Source organism: Homo sapiens, chromosome 21, assembly GCF_000001405.40.
Source record: "Homo sapiens chromosome 21, GRCh38.p14 Primary Assembly".
Classification (NCBI taxonomy): Eukaryota; Metazoa; Chordata; class Mammalia; order Primates; family Hominidae; genus Homo; species Homo sapiens.
This window is the reverse complement of record NC_000021.9, coordinates 35,450,630-35,471,321: the sequence shown is the minus strand read 5'-3', so window position 1 is coordinate 35,471,321 and position 20,692 is coordinate 35,450,630. Positions and strand designations below refer to the sequence as shown.

Here is a 20,692-nt window from a genome sequence, read left to right as displayed (position 1 = left end):
CTCTTTAACCCTGGATTGAAGTTCTTTTGAGATCTTAAACCTATAAGCCTTCTCTGTCACTTTGCTGGCATCTTCGTAGATCTGTGAGCAGTTTATAGAGGGGACAGCATTATTCTTCGAAGTGTGTTCAGAGAACCAGCATCACTTGGGTCAGATTGGGGTAGTGGTTAAAACGCAGACCCAACGAGAACACATGGACACAGGAAGGGGAACATCACACACCGGGGCCTGTTGTGGGGTGGGGGGAGGGGGGAGGGATAGCATTAGGAGATATACCTAATGTTAAATGACGAGTTAATGGGTGCAGCACACCAACATGGCACATGTATACATACGTAACTAACCTGCACGTCGTGCACATGTACCCTAGAACTTAAAGGATAATAATAAAAAATACAAACAAACAAACAAAACAAACAAACAAAAAAACAATGCGGGATCCTGGGCCCTCCTTGAGAGCCAGCCACCCCCGCCCCACTGAATCAGCACTGCAGGAAAGAGGCCCTGGAAGGGACTGCTGTCAGTCACCAGAGGGTTATTTGCATGAGAAATGTTTACAAACCACCTTGTGACAAGTTCAGTGGTTTGCAAGGATACATTTCTTGCATAACAATAATTAAATGTGTTTCTGCCCAAGGAATGGTGTGAAAGATCACTGTTAGGGCCATGAGCATGGATAAGGAACTGCTCCTGCCATGAGGGTGACCCATGCTTATCAGATGACCTCCACATATGGGTAGAATAGAGACATGAAACCAGACTCAAAACTGCGACAGTCTCTCACTGCCCTTCGCGAGTTGTACCTCGGTAAAGTTGGAGATAGGATCTTTGAAATACAGATAAATTGTCATTTTCCCCCTCACAGATGTTTTGACTCATACATACTTACCTAAAATGTTTCAAAGTAGTTTTTTAAATACACATTTGGGGTATTCAGACGTTTAAAGAAGTCACATCAAAATCGTAAATATTTGTATTAGGTTGGTGCAAAAGTCACTGCTGTTTTTGCCATTGAAAGTAATGGCTTAAATCACAGTGACTTTTGCACCAACCCGATAATTCCTTGTAGGCCATAAGGGTAACTTTTGATAGTGCAAAGCAAGACAACACTGACTTTGTGGGAAATTTCAACCACGATTAATAGTGATCTCGTATGGGGATGGGGTGATTAAAAACAGAAATCGAAGTGTTGTTTATTTATTTAGAAAAAAGAGCTGGGCGCAGTGTAATTCCAACATTTTGGGAGGCTGAGGTAGGTGGATTGCTTGAGTTCAGGAGTTTGAGGCCAGCCTGGGCAACATAGCGAGAGCCGGTCTGTACAAAAAATTTAAAAAGTAGCTGAGCATTGTGGCACATGCTTATTTATAGTCCAGCTACCAGGGAAGAGGCTGAGTTGGGAGGACTGCTTGAGCCCAGAAAGTCAAGGCTGCAGAGAGCTATGATTGTACCACTACACTCCTGCCTGAACCACAGACGGAGACTCTGTCTTAATGTGAGTGTCTGGTATTTTAATGAGAAGAATATGAATTTGGAAAATTAAAAGGAAACAATGTACAGTGGAGAGACACTTCACATGTGCAGAATGTGGGATTTTCATTGCCACTACAGAGAGAGTTAAGAATAGCAATAGCAATAGCAATGCTGTTTTGGGATAGTGGTTAAGATGTAGAATACTTGTGGGTTCCTGGGCCTTTCCTTGATTCAGAGTTCTAAGAGCCATCCCTTATCAACCATTCCTATGACATCTGGGAACCAATGTTTTCCAACACAGTCACATCTGTGATGGTTAAACTAGAGAAAGGATACCTAGAAATCAACATTGCTCAGAGCTAGGCTTACCAAATACTCCATGAGAAATACAATAAAAACTCACTCACTGCTTATCTAAAGTTCAAATGTAACTAGCTGTACCGCATTTTTATTTGCTAAATTTGGTGACTCTACTCACTAGAAAAATGAAATATGGTAGTTGCATTTTAAGAGAACCAGGATTTTGAGAACAATTATTTTCCACGATTAATAACAACCTGCCCTTCAGTGGAAGATGGTGCCTGCTCCCCGAGTTCTCCTGAAGTGCTCTGGATCTCTGTCCCCTATCACATGCTGGTGTTCTTCCAGCTGTTCCTGGCAGCCAGACGATCTTAGGCATTCCAGCTTGTCAGTGGCTGGGAAAGACATGGGAATATGCACTTGTAGTTAAGCCCACATCTCCAGGGTCAGAACAGCTCAGGACTTCTATCTTGTTATATCTTAAGGTTCTGCACACGGGACCAACACCAGGGCCTCCAGATACTCAGCCCTGCCGATGCACACACTGGTGCCCCTCTGGTGTTTCCTAGATAATATATTTACACATCACTTATCCTTTAGACTCGGGGGCAAATATACATTTTATATATTATTTAATCTTATATCAGCTTTTTTTTTTTTTTTTTTTTTTTTTTTTGATGGAGTCTCGCTCTGTTGCCCAGGCTGGAGTGTGGTGGCGTGATCTTGGCTCACTGCAAGCTCTGCCTCCCGGGTTCAGGCCATTCTCCCGCCTCAGCCTCCCGAATAGCTGGGACTACAGGTGTCCGCCACTACGTCTGGCTAATTTTTTGTATTTTTTAGTAGAGACGGGGTTTCACTGTGTTAGCCAGGATAGTCTCGATCTCCTGACCTCGTGATCCACCTGCCTCGGCCTCCCAGAGTGCTGGGATTACAGGCGTGAGCCACCATGTCCGGCCATATATCGGTTTTATCAGGAAAATATTATTCTCTCTTTACTTTTTGAAAGACAGATTTGCAAAGCTTTTAAGAGAATTGTGAAGCTTGGAATGGTTACATCACTTGTCCATAGTTCATAAAGATTCAAACACGAAGTCTACTCCAAAGCCCAAGCTCTTACCTCCTCTATACTGCCTGCCTATCTCCCATTCTCTCTACACTCTCTCCCCATTCTGCATTTCATGTAAGTCCCAAAGGGATTATAGTGACTTACAATGATGTAAAAAGATGAACTGGACTTTGGGACAGGCTGTCTCTGAGCTCTATTAGGGGGCAAGTGAATTCATCTTTCTGAGACCCAGTTGCCTTAATCTTTATAACTGGGATACAAATATTGGCTGCATAAATTTATTGGGATGATTAAATAAATTAACTTTGTAACATATAAGGCACTTGGCACATGCTTGGTTCCAAAATCTAGGATACTCGCTGTGTATATAACCAAATACCTAACAGTGAGAAGTGCCATGGATGTTATAAAAGAACTAGGCACAAGGAACAATCAAAACACAAATGAAGAGCCAAATGAGAGAATAGGAAGAAGAAAAAGAGGAGGAGGAGGAGGAGGAGGAGGAAGAAGGAGAAGGAGATGATGGGGGCCTTGGGGGAAGGAAGTGACTTGTCTCAGGGACTCAGGATAAGAGGTATTAGAATTGGAGCCTGCTTTTTCAGTGAGGTTTTGGAAGCTGAGGCAAAGCAACTTATTATAAGCGGCAGTGATATCTTTGAGCCAACAGGGTTCTCAGATTTGCATCTATAGAAGCTCCGTGTGCAGCAGACTTTGTGGCTCTGAGTTCACCATGGGAAGAGGAAGGTCAGGACTCAGAATTCCTTGAGAATTCCTGAGAATTACTTGAAAATGTCTGGCTCATGACTGAAACATACTTATGTTCTTCATAGAATATACAGTCACTTTTCTGGGCTTCCCTTGGGGAAAAAACAGTCTGCATCAGTTATTTATAGTTTTTTCTGAAAGACAAAACAAAACAAAGTAAATTAAATCTGAGCCAATGCTTGAGGGCAAAGGATTCTGGGCTCAAATGAAATGTTCAGTCATTAGTATTTGCTGAGTGACCTTGGCTGGGTCGTATCACCTCTCTGAGCCTTTCTTCCTCATCTGTACAGAAAACAGATCAACTAAGAAATTGCATGAACCTCTGTCCAGTGTCCACCTCATGCCTTGCCCTGTGGTAGATGCCTGGTCCAGAGGACAGCCCAGCCCTTCCCATGGTGGTGATCACAATACAGTGAGTGTGGGCAGGGGATGAATACAGGGTTAAGACTCACATAACCTAGCAAACATCGATAGTGTTACATCAGAAGCGAACACATGCTGTGAAGAAAATGATGCTGGCTTATGGAATAGAGTGAGGCCGGGGCTGAACAGCCAGGAGGCAGGGCCAGGCACTGTTCATACAATAGTCAAACATGGCTTCTCTGAGGAGGTGACTGTATTAGTCCATTCTCACACTGCTATAAGGAAATAACTGCGACTGGGTAATTTGTAAGAAAAGAAGTGTATCAGTCTGTTTTCATGCCACTGATAAAGACATACCCAAGACTGGGCAATTTACAAAAAAAGAGGTTTAATGGACTGACAGTTCCCCGTGGCTGGAGAGGCCTCACAATCATGATGGAAGGTGAAAGGCACATCTCATATGGTGGCAGACAAGAGAAGAGTGAGAGCCAAGCGAAAGGAGTTTCCCCTTATCAAACAATCCGATCTCATGAGACTTATTCACTGCAATGAGAACAGTATAGGGGAACCACCGCCATGATTCAATGATCTCTCACTGGGTCCCTCCCACAACATGTGGGAATTATGGGAGATATAATTCAAGATGAGATTTGGGTGGGGACACAGCCAAACCATATCAAGAGGTTTAATTGACTCATGGTTCTGCAGACTGTACAGGAAGCAAAGTGGCTTCTGCTTCTGTGGGGGGGGCCTCAGGATACTTACAATCATGGCAGAAGGTAATGGGGAAGCAGGTGTCTTACATGGTTGGAACAGGAGGAAGAGAGACAGTAGGGAGGTGCCACACACTTGTATAACAACCAGGTCTTGTGATAACTCATTCACTCACTATCACAAGAATAGCACCAAGGGGATGGTGATAAACCATTCATGGAAACTCCGCCTCCATATTCCAACCACCTTCCACCAGGCCCTTCCTCCAACATTGAGGATTACAATTCCACGTGAGATTTAGTGGGGACACAGATTCAAACTGTATCATTCTGGCCCTGGCCCCTTCAAATCTCATGTCCCTCTCATTACAAAATACAATCATGCCTTCCTAACAGTCCCTCAAAGTCTTAACTCATTCCAGCATTAACTCAAAAGTCTAAAGTCCAAAATCTCATCTGAGACAAGGCAAATCCCTTCTGTCTGCTTTGTTCTAGCCATGTTGGCAGCCAATTGGGTGGTGCCAACCCACATTGAGGGTGGGTCTTCCTCTCCCATTCCACCTACTCAAATGTCGGTCTCCTCTGGCAACACTCACACAGACACATCCAAAAACAATACTAGCCATCTAGGCATCCTTCAAATCCAATCAAGTTGACACTAATATTAACCATCACAGTGACCTTTGAGCAGACACTTGCGTACAGTGAAGGAACCAGTCATGAGAGCTGGCAAGAAGCATGTTCTGGGTGGCTCTTCAAAGAGTTGCCCAACAGAAGGCTAGGGAGGAAGTTTATGTCAGGAAGGAATTTGGACTTTACTGGAAAATATGGAAGAAACAAGAAGAAATCTCTGCTGGTATCTTGTCTACAGCTTACAAACACCTTTGGTCTTTTCCACATTGGAGACACACACAGGTAGTTTGTGTGCATGTCTATGTATATATCCACACTCTTAAATGCACTTCAGGTACATAGAACAGGCACATATACCCTAGATTTTCCCTGTCATCAAAAGGTCCCTTATGACTGGTTTTGGGACAATAAACAGATGCTGGCCATGTCCACTGCCACTACCCACTTCTACCGATGCCAACACTGCCGATGCATCATGGTGGCCTCCGCCACGGGGCATTCCTCTGGACACTGCAAAAACACACTTTCCAATGAATGGCATTAGCAGGGGAATTGAAACCTATTGGCTACTGTGGGCCAGTGCTCCCAGCTGTACTCTGATAGTCTTATAATCTGTGTTTTGTGACATAACAAAGAAAGTTAAAATAGACCTTGAGAATCAGAACAGAGTAGGCATCAAAGGGTTGTGGTGTCATCTCATCAGAGGGGTAATCAGAAAACAAGCACTTAGTGCACACAAATGAGTATGGATATGTAGGCCGGACTAGTGACAGTATCTTCATGAGATTGGAAGTGCAATCAGACAATAGCTTGAGGATAGATATTTGGGTAAGGAGACTTCAGGTGGAAAAATACTTTATGCTGAGAATCACAAAACATTACAGGCCAGTAAGGAAATGTTCCACAGTAAAATAAAATTATGGGGAAGGAGTGAGAAAAGAACCAATGGGAGCAAAAAATGAGAGAAGGAGAATTTATCACCCCAGTGAGAGCAGGGTGAATGGAATCAAGGGGCAAGGGCCTGGGAAGAGTTAGAAATAGGAGTACAAAAAAAATGTTCTTTTCCTCTGATGAACAGTGAGGATCGGTTTGGCCTCCCATATCACCCTCTGCATTCCTGGCATTTTATGTGTATGCAGGAACCTGACATGTGGCATTTAGTGAGAATAGGTACTTTTTCTTGGTGGTGCTGATGTCTGACAGTAATGCCATATAGCCATATACAAGCCTCACAAGGGCTTACATCAAAGAGGGGTTTACTCAGAATACAATGAAGCTCTGTGACTTTGCTAAGATCTACACAAAACACCTGAAGACTAACAGTTTAGGAAAGATGACAAAAAGTACTACTTCTTAATTCAGAAATGGCATTGACTAGGTGTGGTTCACGTCTGACATAAGGGAGAATACTCATTTTGAAGTGTATCTTGTGGATTTGCTAGCAGGAAAAGTGGAACAACCACACCAGCCATACTCACATCTATGCAAAGTTAATGAGTGACTTTTCATATTTTTGGTGCTCTGCTCTATTTAAAATTAAATTCCCTATTGTGTAATAAAAATACCACACTACTTATATGAACAGTGGAAGAGGGTGAGGCCAGTTCAAATTAATTGAAATCAACAAGATTATTTAGGAGAATCGAAGCAATATTGTACAAAGATTGGCCAAAGGCCAGGCTGGCTGTTATCATTTCTCTCCCTTTGATGGCCTTTAAGTTGGGGTTTCCTTCCAAGTTGGGTTTATTTTTCTTTTATCTGGGAAGAGTGTGGTTTAGTGAAATTTTAAAGTTATGCCTTTACTTTGCTGCATCTAAGGAACAAAAAGAAACATGACAGTAATAATTTCAAGGTAATTTGATACAGGTATGTATTAGTCTGTTTTCACACTGCTGATAAAGACATACCCGAGACTGGGCAATTTACAAAAGAAAGAGGTTTAATTGGACTTACAGTTTCATTTATGGGGAGGCCTCACAATGATGGCGGGAGGCAAGGAGGAGCAAGTCGCATCTTACGTGGATGACGGCAGGCAAAGAGAGGGCTTGTGCAGGGAAACTTCCCTTTTTAAAACCATCAGATTTCATGAAACGCATTCACTATCACAAGAACAGCATGGGAAAGACCCACCCCCATGATTCAATCATCTCCCACTGGGTCCCTCCCACAGTGCGTGAGAATTATGAGAGCTACAAGATGAGAGTTGGGTGGGGACACAGAGCCGAAGCATAACAAGATATAAGAGATAAGATTGTATTATAAAGCTGACCCTACCCTGGGCACCTCCGTCTACTACTACTTCCTCTCCACTAGCATCTCAGCCTTCATCCCCGCCTCCATCTCTTGCTAGATGAGCTACGTGGACAACCTGGTGTGTGAGCTTCCACACATTTTCTATACTTATGTAATTTAATTATAAAATCATATCACATCCACATACAGGAATGTCTCAGCCTCAGTGCTATTGACACATGGGCCAGATAAGTCTTTGTGGTGGCTGTCCTGTGCACTGAGGCATGTTCAGCAGCATCCCTGGCCTCCACCCACCAGATGCTAAGAGCATGCTCCCCACAGCTTTGATGTCTCCAGACATCACGAAATGTCCCTAGCAGGTAATATCACTCTTGATTGGGAATAACTGATATGAAGGCTTAGTTTTACAATTTGTTTATATGTGTGTGTGTGTGTGTGTGTGTGTGTGTATATATATATGTATGTATGTATATATATAGTAACCATTTTGTTCTCTTTCTACCTACTGCTTTTCTACCTGCTGCTTGTCTGAATCAAAATCGTTGACAAGGTTCTTTAACATATAATTAATGCTATTTAATTACTTTTCATGAATGCTTCATAGTCTGTCCAGTGGATATAACATTGCTCCATGGGTTTATCCCACCATTCTTTCATCTATGGGCATTAACATGATGTCTAGTTCTTGACCTCCAAATAGCAATGCTGTAATGAGTATCATGGTACATGTGCCTTTACAGATCCCCAGAAATGGAATTGTAGCATAAGAATTTCATTTTATTTTATTTTTCGGGACAGGGTTTTGCTCTGTCACTCAGGCTGGAGTGCAGTGGCATAATCACCACTCACTTCAGCCTCAACTTTGTGAACTGAATCTTCCTGCCTCAGCCTCACAAGTAGTTGGAACTACAGGCTTGCACACCCATGCCTGGTTAATTTTTAAATTTTTTTGTAGAGTCTAGGTCTCTCTCTATGTTGCCTAGGCTTGTCTTGAACTCCTAGGCTCAAGCAATGCCCCCACCTTGGCCTTCCAAAGGGCTGGGATTACAGGCATGAGCCATGGTGCCTGGCCTTATGTATTTTTAATTTTATTAGACAGTGCCAGATCACCTAATGATAGCCTTTGAAAGAAACTTTTAAAACTATAAATTTTATGTATAAGACTGATACGAGTGATTATTTAAGTGATTTCTCAAACATGAAAAGAAATACAAATATATTCAAAGTTTGCCTTTTGGTTTTAGTCCTAAAAATTACAATTTTTCCTACAGGAGGAAGTTTGGATTAACTGTTTAATTATCAGATCTTTCAAATTTCTTGTTTGTCAAAGGTTTTGAGTGTAGACACCAATTAAAATGAATAAACTGCAAAAATTAAATTCTATGCCAAGAGTGTTACTTTTTTCTATAATCAATTTACCCTGTATTAAGTATTTCAAGACTAGAAATGAAAATGGAATGGGGGACTGGATTAAAGTTGTCTTAAGTGATGGAATAATACAAATATGCCTTGTGAGTTACCTTAGGATTGATGGGTGGCTGAAACCCTGCAACTTAACCTCACCCTGCAAGTCGGCACAGTCTGAGTAATGTGTCACTATCCAATGATGGATGAAAATAGTTCTGTTTGATATTTTGGATCATTTTAATGTACTATTTTATTCCCCCCTCAACAGCTCAGGATAGCTTTTAAGCAACATGATTTCAGTTGTTTTACTATTTCTTCCCTTTTAGAGGTCTCCAGGTGAAAGAAGAAAGCTTAACCTGGCTTCTGAATTCCAAGAGCACACGGCAAAGTGGTAAGAAAACTAAGGTCTATTTTTTCTTTCTTTTTGAGTACTTGAGTGACTCAGCAAATATGATATTGGGAGATGTCATTTCTGATTGGTATTGTGCTGTACATGTAGCTGTCTTCTGGAAGTAGAGGCTGCTGGGATCTTTCCTGGACTTGTATATCAGGGAGAAAGAACTAATTTAAAATAAAGCAAAATATGCATCTACTCTTTACTAGGTGTACTTTAAAAAATAGACAAGTAATTGCAAAGTTTGCAATACGTATGCATTACTTGTGTATTTTGCAACTATTTACTTGCAAAAATAGACAAGTAATGCATGTGTCTGTAGTTGCACCTGAGTTCCAGTGCAACAGGAGTGTTGCTCTCCAAGCTGTTGGGAATGGAAGTGTTAGCTTCAAGTCTCACAGAGGTTTCGGGCTTTGTTTGAAGCCTTTTAATATTACAGGAAGATTTTGTTCTGTCAGTTTCTCTCATGCAATGTAATTGGACTTCTCTAATTCCTCTTTTCTCCTTGGTTATTTCTCCTAATAAGAGAAATTAGCTTTATGCCCCTTCAATATTGTGGTTATATGCCAACTTGCAATGGAATAATCTCATTTGCTGCATTTTGGTTTGATATTGTGCATGAAATTTATAAATCATTTCCATTTAAAATTATAAGTTATGTCACAACATTATGAAATGTTTAGGGAAACAGACATTGAAAAAACTATTCCACCAATAATTTAGCATACCAACAGTTACTGGTTTGTTACCAACTTCATATGTATTTTTTCCTTTTACACATACAATTTAAAATTCTGACTTTAAATAACTTACTTTTTAATATGTAATATCTGCCTATGGGGCAAAATGTTATGAACTCCAAAATTGTGTGTATGAAATGTATTGGTCTCTCCTTCCCTCCTTTGCCCCATGCCAGCTAGTTCCCTTTCCAGGACACATGTGGTGTTTCTGTTTTTCTAATTTACTGGTCCTTCGAGATTATTTACATTGTTTGCAACCTGTTGCTATGTTAAACAATGCTTTGAAAAAGAGTAGAACATCTTTATGCATATGCTGTCTCTCCTATGTTCTAGTTCTTGGATGGAAGGAAAAGGCTACCACTCAATATCTAAAGCAAAAACCTGACTTTATTGTTTGCTAAACAAGAGACAACAGTGCTTGTAGGACACGGTTCTGTCAAAACAAAGCAAATGTTGATCATATATAGGGTTTGGGAAGTATTAAGTTCAGGAATTAAAACACTGCGAGAAGTGTGTTTAGAAATTAGTTGACCTTTAGCCGTGAAAGCTTGGCATTTGGAGTGTGCCTGTTGCTAATAGCTGGATTTCAGAAGTATGGCTGGGATTGTTTGGCTAGCCTGCAGAAGTATGTTACGAAAGTGGATTGTCACGGATCAATTTTGATGTCTTTTTTTTTTTTTTTTTTTTTTTGTGAGACGGAGTCTTGTTCCGTCACCAGGCTGGAGTGCAATGGCACGATCTCGGCTCACTGCAACCTCTGCCTTCCTGGTTCAAGTGGTCCTCCTGCCTCAGCATCCCGAGTAGCTGGGACTACAGGCGTGCACCACCACGCCCAGCTAATTTTGTATGTTTAGTAGAGACGGGCTTTCACCATGTTGGCCAGGATGGTCTCCATCTCTTGACCTCATGATCTGCCTGCCTCAGCCACCCAAAGTGCTGGGATTACAGGCATGAGCCACTGTGCCCGGCCAATTTTGATGTCTTTATAACATCAAACAAGTGACTTGTTTATAACAACAAGTGACTTGTTGATACCTTAGGACTATGACCAAGAAAGAGTTATCATTTTCCTTTAAAATTTAAATTCTCAACTGCATGAGAAATTCATGGGAAATGGAAGTGCTGGGTCAAATGGTGTGTGCGTTTTATATTTTAATTGACTAGAGATTTACCAGTTTACACGCCCACCAGCAATGAATGGCAGTGCTCATTTCTCCACAACATAGTGTGTCATCAAGCTTTTGATCTTTCTTAACCTGAAAAGTGAAATATAGTATCTTCCTGAAGTTTTGTTGTCTATTTCTGAGAATAAGTAAGGTTGAGAAACTTTGTATATGATGAAAAGCTATCATATTTTATTTTCTATATTTTTTTTGTCATTTACCCATTTTTAATGGAATTTTAAAAATATTGACCTTTAATGACTCATGTATTAATTAGCCCTGTACATTAAGAGTTGTAAATATTTTCTCCAGTATGTTCTTTGTCCTTTTGTTTATGGTGTTTATTTGGGGAGAAAGAGCATATAAAAACAGGCCTTGACACTGTTGGATCGATCAGTATTTTTTATTGTCTTTTGGGTTTTATATTAGTGTTGGAAAACTCTCTTATTTTGAGATTGTAATATTTTCTATGCTCTCCTTTATTGCTTTTATGGCTTTACTTTCATTCATTCTGGAATTTGTGCTGGTGTAAGTGTAAAGGGGGATACAATTTTTTAGGTAGCTACTTAGATGCCTCACCACTATTTCTTAGATAATACATTATTTCCCTACTGATTTGAATGATCATCTTTGCTCAAAACTAAAGCTTCCCAAGTATGTTGATTTACTGCTGACCTTTTTCTCTGATCCATCAATTATTATGTTGGCTTTTTATTTATCATAATACCACATGCATTTTTCTGTTTAATAAGCTTCTTGCTAATCACTGTGGGGTTCCCATTAAATGAATATTGTGTAATTTACTCAACAACTCTCCCTTTTGTTGCCCTCCATGTAACATTGGGGAGATTTTGGCTATAAATCAACAAATACATTTTTTAAAAACTTTATCTCTGTTCCATAAACCACCTGTAATTCTGGGGCGAGGTATGATTGTCTCTATTTTAACAAGTACACCAGGTGATTCCAGGGAAGGCTAATGTTTCATTGCATGCTGCTCTTTGGAGTTGAACCCGATCACACATGGATCATATCGTCACACGACTGACCCAATCAGTGATGATAAGCGATTGATTTTTCTGGTGACGGTTTGAGTTTTACCACGTCCGCACATTATAGATTTATATACGTATTCACTTCTATTTGTATATAAATACATGCAAGTATATAACAAATAGATACTGCTGTGAAGGTGGAATGTATTTGATGTGATATTTTTACAAATACATGAAATTGTTGAGATTTGATGAGAGTCCATTTATGATTCTTAGTTTTCGTAGAGAAATAGGAAGGGGCTACTGAATGGTCCACCTTAAGACCAAAAAGGGCAAGAGTACAGAATGAAAGGCCAAACAATGATTTCATTATACAAATGAAATGGGCAAATGCAGTGAAATTCCATCCATCCCTGAGGACTGATTCCATTTAGAGGTTAGAAGAGCAGCCTGGAGTGATCTCACACTTACGGGCTCTATAACCGTCACTCCGGAGCAACAGTAGAAGGGTTGTGACTAAGGATGAATGGATCAGCACATAAAGTTTTTCGCTTTAACTACTCTTCTGTGGGGTACATAAGAAATAAAACAGATAATGGATCCAGATGGCCCATCCCCTGGTGAATAGTGAACAAGGGGTATCTAAATGGGTGAGCGCAATCCGCAGCAAAAACCCAAAACAAGAACATCGGTCGTGAGTCTCAGTTCAGTTTTAGAGGCAGACTATTAAGTACATTAGGTGATGTCATAGACTATTTGTGATGAAGAAGATATTGGAAGGAACTGGCTCAGGGATGTTCTAAATGCAAAAAATCATGTTTTATTCCACTTTCATGGGCCATTGTAATTTACAGAGACTTTTCCCATTAAAACTGGCTTCATGATACCCAGATTACTGACAAGAAAACTGAGTTGCATGAAGTGTTCTCACCTCAGAGACCACTAGCTCAGCATCTTATTCACACACTGCAACTCCACTCACATTTATGAAAGACCTAGCCTACTTATGCAAACAAAATATCCGGGGTATCAAGGCATGTGAATTACCTCTGACAGTAAGAATATGAAGCCTGATAGGGTCAAATAGGGAGAGGGAGCTTTGTTATGCTTTTATGTGCCTTAATTGTCCTGGAGTCTTCAGCAAGTCTGTGGTGAATGCGGTGGAAAAAGAGCAGACTTCAAAATTAACTTAAAATTTTAATCATTAAAATTAAATCACAGAGATAAATTAGACAGATACCTGTGAAAGCAAACATTTTTTAAAGCTGGGAACTCCCTGCTGTGTTGATTCACTTTACAGGATGGGCACATGGAACTGATGTAATAGCCAACAAACCATTGTCAGATGCATAATAGATTGCTAATTACTCATGGAAACAGACTTTTTGAACTAGAATGGTGCATTTTAATTGCCTTTTAGTAAGGTGCTTTGTCTTTTTCTTCCTCCACCTAGGTCCCATCAGCACTTACCCCAGTGCTGGCCTGAGTTGTAATAGATGCGTAATAGACACGTTTATGTTTTAATAATAATAAAGATAAATTATGTTTGCAAGTGCTTCCCCCTACATTTTATCTCCATAACAACTCTGGGGGATATGCAGGGCAAGTGTTATTATCGCTACTTTATTGATGATGAAACCAAGGCATGGTAAAGTCAGGAGGTTTTTCAAAATTTCACGGGCAAATCAGGATTCAAGGTCTGGTTTTGTTATTTGACAATATCCTGTTCCGTGTATAATAAACCACCCTGTGCTACGACATGAAACTCACAGTGGTAAGGCAACAGGACGTGGCCACTGGTGTGAATTCTGTCCCTGTCAACTGTGTGTTCTTTACCTCTCTGAGGCATCGTTTATTCATTCTTAAATTGGCAAAAGTAGTAGCTATTCCTGTCTACAAAGTTTTGATGAGACTCCATTGAGATAATGCCTAAGGAATTTCTTTGAACTTTTCCACAGTCTGTTTCTCACCTGGAACGCTTGAATGGGCTTCAGTGGGTCTATAAAATCTGTAAAGTTATATAAAATTTGATGCTTACTTGTATATAATGCGTTTCTTTTTTCTGGAGAAAGTGCTAACAATTTTATAAGATTTTCAAAGATTTCTTTGATTAAAAAATTAGAATTATGCAAAACATTATGCACAATACTAGTACGGTGTTATTCATACAAAATATCTTTTCTGATATTATAACACATTCCTTTCAGAAAATATGAAAAATACAGAAAAGCACAAAAAGAAAATAATAGTCATCCAAAAACATGTCATTTAGAGAGAATCAACATAGCAATGCCACATCGTTGATGTGGATTGTTATGGCTGGTATCACACTGCAGCATTTTTTTTATAAGTAAAAAATGTTTTGGGGACAGCACAAATATATTTTATGTATTACATATATAGTTTATGTGCATATATATTTGTAGGATTGGGATCATTTTAAATATGTGAACATGGACTTACTGGTATAATATTTTTCTGCATGATGTTTAACATCTGCCTTGAAATCTCTATATAGTTATTCCATAATTTCTATACCTAGTATTCTAGGTTTAGAGTATTGTATTGCACCTTCAAATTTGTTTTCATTTTTGTCATTTTAACTAATATTTATAATATATATGCTTCTACATATAATTATACTACATATTCATAAATTTCATATATTTTCTGAAATCAACTGCTCTGTCTCTTGCTTTTCTAACTGAATGGTCAATTATTAAGTATTCCATTCTCCCAGATGTACTTTAGCGTTTAATTACCATGTTTCCAAAAATCTTACTGGATTTAAACAAAATTAATTATGCCTATTAATTATTTGGGGGAAGAATTTTAATATTTATATTTCTTTTCTAAAATATAATTTGTCACTTCTTTCATGCGGTTCTTTTTCATCCCTCAGTTAAGTTTTGTAATTTTCTTTTTCTAATAACTTGCCTCTTTTTCCACCATATTTATGGACTGTGACTCGCCACTAAAGCGTATTTTTGCAATGCCAGAACATTTAGAACAATTTTTAAAAATAGTGATTATAGAAGGTATCATGTATTTTTCAGATATTAATATGGATATCTCTGGTGTTTTAGCATTAAAGACCACTGGCTAATAGTGAACAATAGTGGTCTTTATCATCTTAAGACATATAGATGTCTATCTTTATTAAAAGACTGAGAAAATCAGTATCAGATGCTATATACATGTCAAATACATTTTGGTCTCTAATAAATTAATACCCTTGAGCATCTTCTCTTTTGACCTAATGCAGTGAATTCTTTTGAAATTTCCATAGTAAATAATTTTTTCATTCTTAGAGGAAATTATTCTTGAACATGATATAATATTTTTAGACTCATTTCCAAATTAAATTGTCAATATTTGATTTAGAATTTTTTCATTCATAATTATGAGGAAGATTGGTCCATAGATTTATATTTCTGGAGTTTTTCACTTTTTCAAATATCCATGTAGAGATTGGCATAAAAAAATGGAAAATTCTTCCATCTTTCTCTACGAGAAATTTTAGAAAATTGTGAAATTTTCTTCCCTAGTTATTTATTCATTAAGCTTTTTGGCATCTTTTATGTTTTCTTTACCAATCATCTGCTTAATTTAAAATTTTAATTTGTCAGAATACGATATTACACAATTTTTACTTATGTCTGTGGTCATATTCATTGTTATTCCCAGTTTTATGTATGTATGTTTTTTCTCTTTTCTATTTGATTAGGCCTGCTAAATGTTTGATCAGAAATTTTTTTTCTACAAAGAATCCACTCTTAGATTTGTTTATTTTATCTAATTTATTTTCTAATTCATTAATTTCTGCTGTTATTTTCCCCTTTTTGTTTTCCTTAAATTGTATTTGTTCTTGTTTTTCCATTTTTAAAAATTGAACACTTATTTTAGTAATTTTCATTCTTTCTGACGTCCTGATAAAAGGCTTACAAGCTATAAATTTGCTTTGGTATATAACTGTATCAGCATTCCAGACGTTTTTATAAATTATGTTTTCACTTTCATTAGTGTCAAAATAATCCTTAATGGTGTGCTTGATTTTTAGTGCAATTATTTTTTGTTTTTTTTTGTTTTTTTTTTAGACGGAGTTTTGCTGTTGTTCCCCAGGCTGGAGTGCCATGGCATGATCTCAGCTCACTGTAACCTCCACCTCCTGGGTTAAAGCAATTCTCCTGCCTCAGCCTCCTGAGTAGCTGGGATTACAGGCATGTGCTACCATGCCCGGCTAATTTTGTATTTTTAGTAGAGATGGAGTTTCTCCATGTTGGTCAGGCTGGTCTTGAACTCCTGACTTCAGGTGGTCCACCCACCTCAGCCTCCCAAAGTGCTGGGATTACAGGCCTGAGCCACTGTGGTGCAATTTTTTTGTAGAGAATAATTTGTGATGTGATAATTTTGGACTGTCTTTTTTTCTATTTTTTGGGCTTATAAGAGTATATAGTGTACTATATAATTAGTATTTGCCAATATTCTTTGTAAGCTTGATAGGAAATATATCATCCTTTTCTCTCATAAGACACCAAACTTTCTGTAAACCTAATAAATCTTATTGTTATTTGGAACTTCTTTCTCTACGCCCCACCCAGGTGTATATATATTTGTATACTTCAACTGTGAAAGATGGAGGAAGGTCCCACTACTGTTAACTTATCTTTATTCCTCTAATGATTTGTGATTACTATATTTTGAACAATATTATTTGGAGCATAAAGATTTATGACTTTCATGTTTTCCTTTTGGATTTTATTATCAAAATACTATAACTCTCTTCATTTCAGGAGATGGCTTTTTCTTTTAATTCTCCATTGCCTGATAAGAATATGAAAATTTCTATTTTCTCTTCTTATATTTATTTTATTTCTTCCTGCCTTTAGCTGTTACATGTTTGCCTAATCACTTAATAATACTTATGTGCCAATTTATTTTAAGTGTTAGGGCTTTTAAATAATACTAGGTTGAATTTGATTAACTCACCACTTGAACTAACCAAATCAAACCATGTGGCTGTCTTTTACTTTGCAGTTTAGGGTAGATGTTTATGTTATTATTACTGATGTAATTGTGCTTCCTTTCTTTATCTTATTTCATTAAAAAAAATTTTTTTCCTGCTATTTCCCTAGTAAGTTTTTAAAAAATATAAACTCTGTTTTCTTTGCTCTTTTCTGTAGCAATTTTATTTTAAATTCTACTAGTAATATACTTTGTTATCAAAATGCTTTTAATAATATTAATATTTTAAACACATTAATGTTGATTAAACTACCTACATAAAAATAAAAGCACTAAATACTGATTCGCATCTATGTAAAGTGAGAAGATTAGTAGTCTTTAGTTTCCATATTATATCTAGGCCCACTTCCCAGTTTTCATTGGTGTCACCTGTGATTTTAGAGTGGGCTTATAGAAATTTTATCATATTATGTTGTAGGATTTTTTTCTTAGTAAGTTGAAGTAGATCCTGAACAAATATGCCCAGGGATGCCTATGTGCTTTCTCAAAACCTCTTTCAGGTCCCTTCACATGTAGACAACAATTTTTTGGGCCACAGAATTTGCATTTTTTGTTTTGTTTTTGAGACAAGTCTTGCTCTGTCACCTAGGCTGGAGTACAGTGGCAGGATCATGGCTCACTGCACCCTCAACTTCCTGGGGTAAGCATTCTCCTGCCTCAGACTCCCAAGTAACTGGGACTACATGTGTATGCCACTAGGCCTGTCTACTTTTTGTGTTTTTTTGTACTGGCGGGGTTTTGCCATGTTGCCCAGGCTGGTCTTGAACCCCTGGGCTCAAGCAATCCACCTGCCTCAGCCTCCAAAAGGGTTGGGATTATAGGCATGAACCACTGTGCTCGGCTGACAAGATTCTTGAATAAAATCTTTTCCCTTCAAAACTTGATAGATGTATCAGGTTGATGCAAAACTGTGATTACTTTTGCACCAACCCAGTAGTTTTATTGTATGAAGGCCTTTGATTATACAAAGGATGAAATGCTTGTGTATACATGTCAGAATTTTAAACAAATACTCTGAATGCTGATGAAATTTTTTTCTGTCCTAGCATTAAAACAAAATTATGCTTTCCACGAATTTTGTCTGGAATGTACATGGGTGTTTTGATCAGCCAGTGCAGACTGCCTTGTAGGTCAGTCCACTCTGTTGAATCAGGGGAGAGTCACTATTTTTTGGAGCAGTAACTTCAAGGGGCTTCATGATGGTGGAATGTGATAAGGAGAAACCACTTCACAGGACACCAGATTCCAATTTTGTCTTGGTTGTTAAATGCCATGTGAGTCAAAGAGCCCCAGGTGAAATGGGGGTGTTAGAGAAGATTTTCTCAAGAAACCCAGAATTGGTGAAGCAATTCAACACAAAGTGGTAAACCCATTTGCTGTATTAGCATTAAATTAAGTTTTAATTAGGCTGTCTGTGTTTTCAGTTGAAAAAATAAATTCTCTATGACAGAAAACTACTAGAACTAAACAGGTACTTTACATCTTATGGAAAACAGAATAATGGCTCCTCCAAAGATGTCCACATTCTAATCCCCAGAACCCATATTACCTCACATGGCAGAGAAGAATGAAGGTTACAGATGGAATTAAGGTTGTTAATCAACAGACCTTAAAGTAAGGAGAATATCTGAAATTATTCTGCTAGGTCCAATGTAATCACAGGGGTCCATAAAAGTGGAAGAGGGAGGCAGGAGAGGTCAGAGAGCTGTAGTGCAAGAAGGTCTCCAGGCACCATTGCTGGCTTTGAAGACAGTAGAAGGAGCCTGAAGCCAAGGAAAGTGAGCAGTCTATAGAAGATGGAAGACTTCAGGAGGCGCATGGCCCTCTGGACACCTTGCTTTTAACCTAGAGACCCATTGATATGGTTTGGATATTTGTTCCCTCCAAATCTCGGTTAAAATGTGATTCCCAATGTTAGAGGTGTGACCTGGTGGAAGGTAATTGGTTCTGGGGGCAGATTCTTCATGAAACGTTTGGTACCATCTCCTTGGTGATAAGGGAGTTCTTGCTCAGAGTTTCATGCAAATTCAGTGAGTTTCCGTGAAACTCTGAGCAAGAACTCACTTATCACCAAAGTGTGTGGCACTTCCCACCTCACTCTTTTGTTCCCACTCTCCCGTGATGTACTGGCTCCCACTTCACCTTCCACCATGAGTGAAAGCTCCCTGAGGCCTCATTAGAAGCCAGACAAATGCAGATGTTGGTGCCATGCTTGCACAGCCTGCAGAACTTTGAGTCAATTAAACTTCTTTTCTTTATAAATTACCCAGTCTCAGATATTTCTTTATAACAACACAAGAACAGCCTAATACAGAAAATTGGAACCAAGGAGTGGGGCATTGCTATAAAGATATCTGTAGATGAGGAAGCAACTTTGGAACTGGGTAACAGGCAGAGGTTGGAAGAGTGTGGAGGGCTCAGAAGAAGACAGGACGATGAGGAAAATTTGAAACTTCTTAAAGACTGGTCATATTGTTGTGACCAAAATGCTGATAGAGATATGAGCAGTGAAGGCCAGGCTGATATGATCTTAGATGAAGATGAGGAACTTACTGGGAACTAAAGCAAAGGTCACCCTTGTTCTGCTTTAGCAAAGAACTTGCCTGCATTGTGTTCATGTCCTAAGGATTTGTGGAACTTTGAACTTGAGAGTGATGATTTAGGGTATCTGGCAGAAAAAATTTCTTAGCCATAAAGCCTTTAAGAGGTGGACTGGCAGATATAGGGGCAAAGAAATGACTTAAGATTGGAACTTATATTTAAAGGGGAAGCAGAACATAAAAATTTGAAAAATTTGCAACCTGGCCATGTGGTAGAAAAGAAAAGCCTAGGTTTAGAGGAAGCATCCAAGTGGGCCACAGAACAACAACTTACTAGAGAGATTTGCATGACTAAAAAGGAGCCAAGTGCTGATGGCCAAGATGTTTGGAAAAAGGCCCTGAAGGCTTTTTAGGGATCTACAAGGCAGCCCCTCCCACTACAGGTCCAGAGGCCTAGGAGGAAAGAATGGTTTTGTGGGCCAAGCCTGAGACGCGAATGGCCTAAGCCACCCAGGAAATTGATCCCTGCATCTTCACTTCTCTGGCTGCAGCCTTGGCTCAAAGCGTCCCAGGTGTAGCTTGGGCCATGGCTCTGGAGGGCACAAGCCATAAGCTTTAGTGGCTTCCACATGGTGTTAAGCCTGTAGGTGCTCAGAACGCAAGAGTAAAGGATGCTTGACAACTTGTACCTAGATTTCAGAGGATATATGTGAAAGCCTGGGTGCTCAGGGAGAAGCCTGATGCAGGGGTGGAGCCATCACAGAGAACCTCTACTAGGGCAATGCCAAGGGGAAATGTGGGGGTCTGGAAAGGCTACAGGAACTCGACAACCTGTGAGAGCAGCCACAGGGGCTGCACCCTCCAA

The 20,692-nt window shown here is 39.1% G+C and overlaps 1 long non-coding RNA gene across 1 annotated transcript in view; it reads left to right on the top strand.

Moving 5' to 3' along the window:
• Positions 1-20,692, top strand: part of LOC100506403 (uncharacterized) — a 208,258-nt gene that overhangs the window by 109,443 nt on the left and 78,123 nt on the right. Inside the window, exon 2 of the long non-coding RNA NR_073512.1 lies at positions 9,297-9,361. This is a non-coding gene — a long non-coding RNA (uncharacterized LOC100506403). The remainder of the gene's footprint in view (positions 1-9,296; positions 9,362-20,692) is intronic.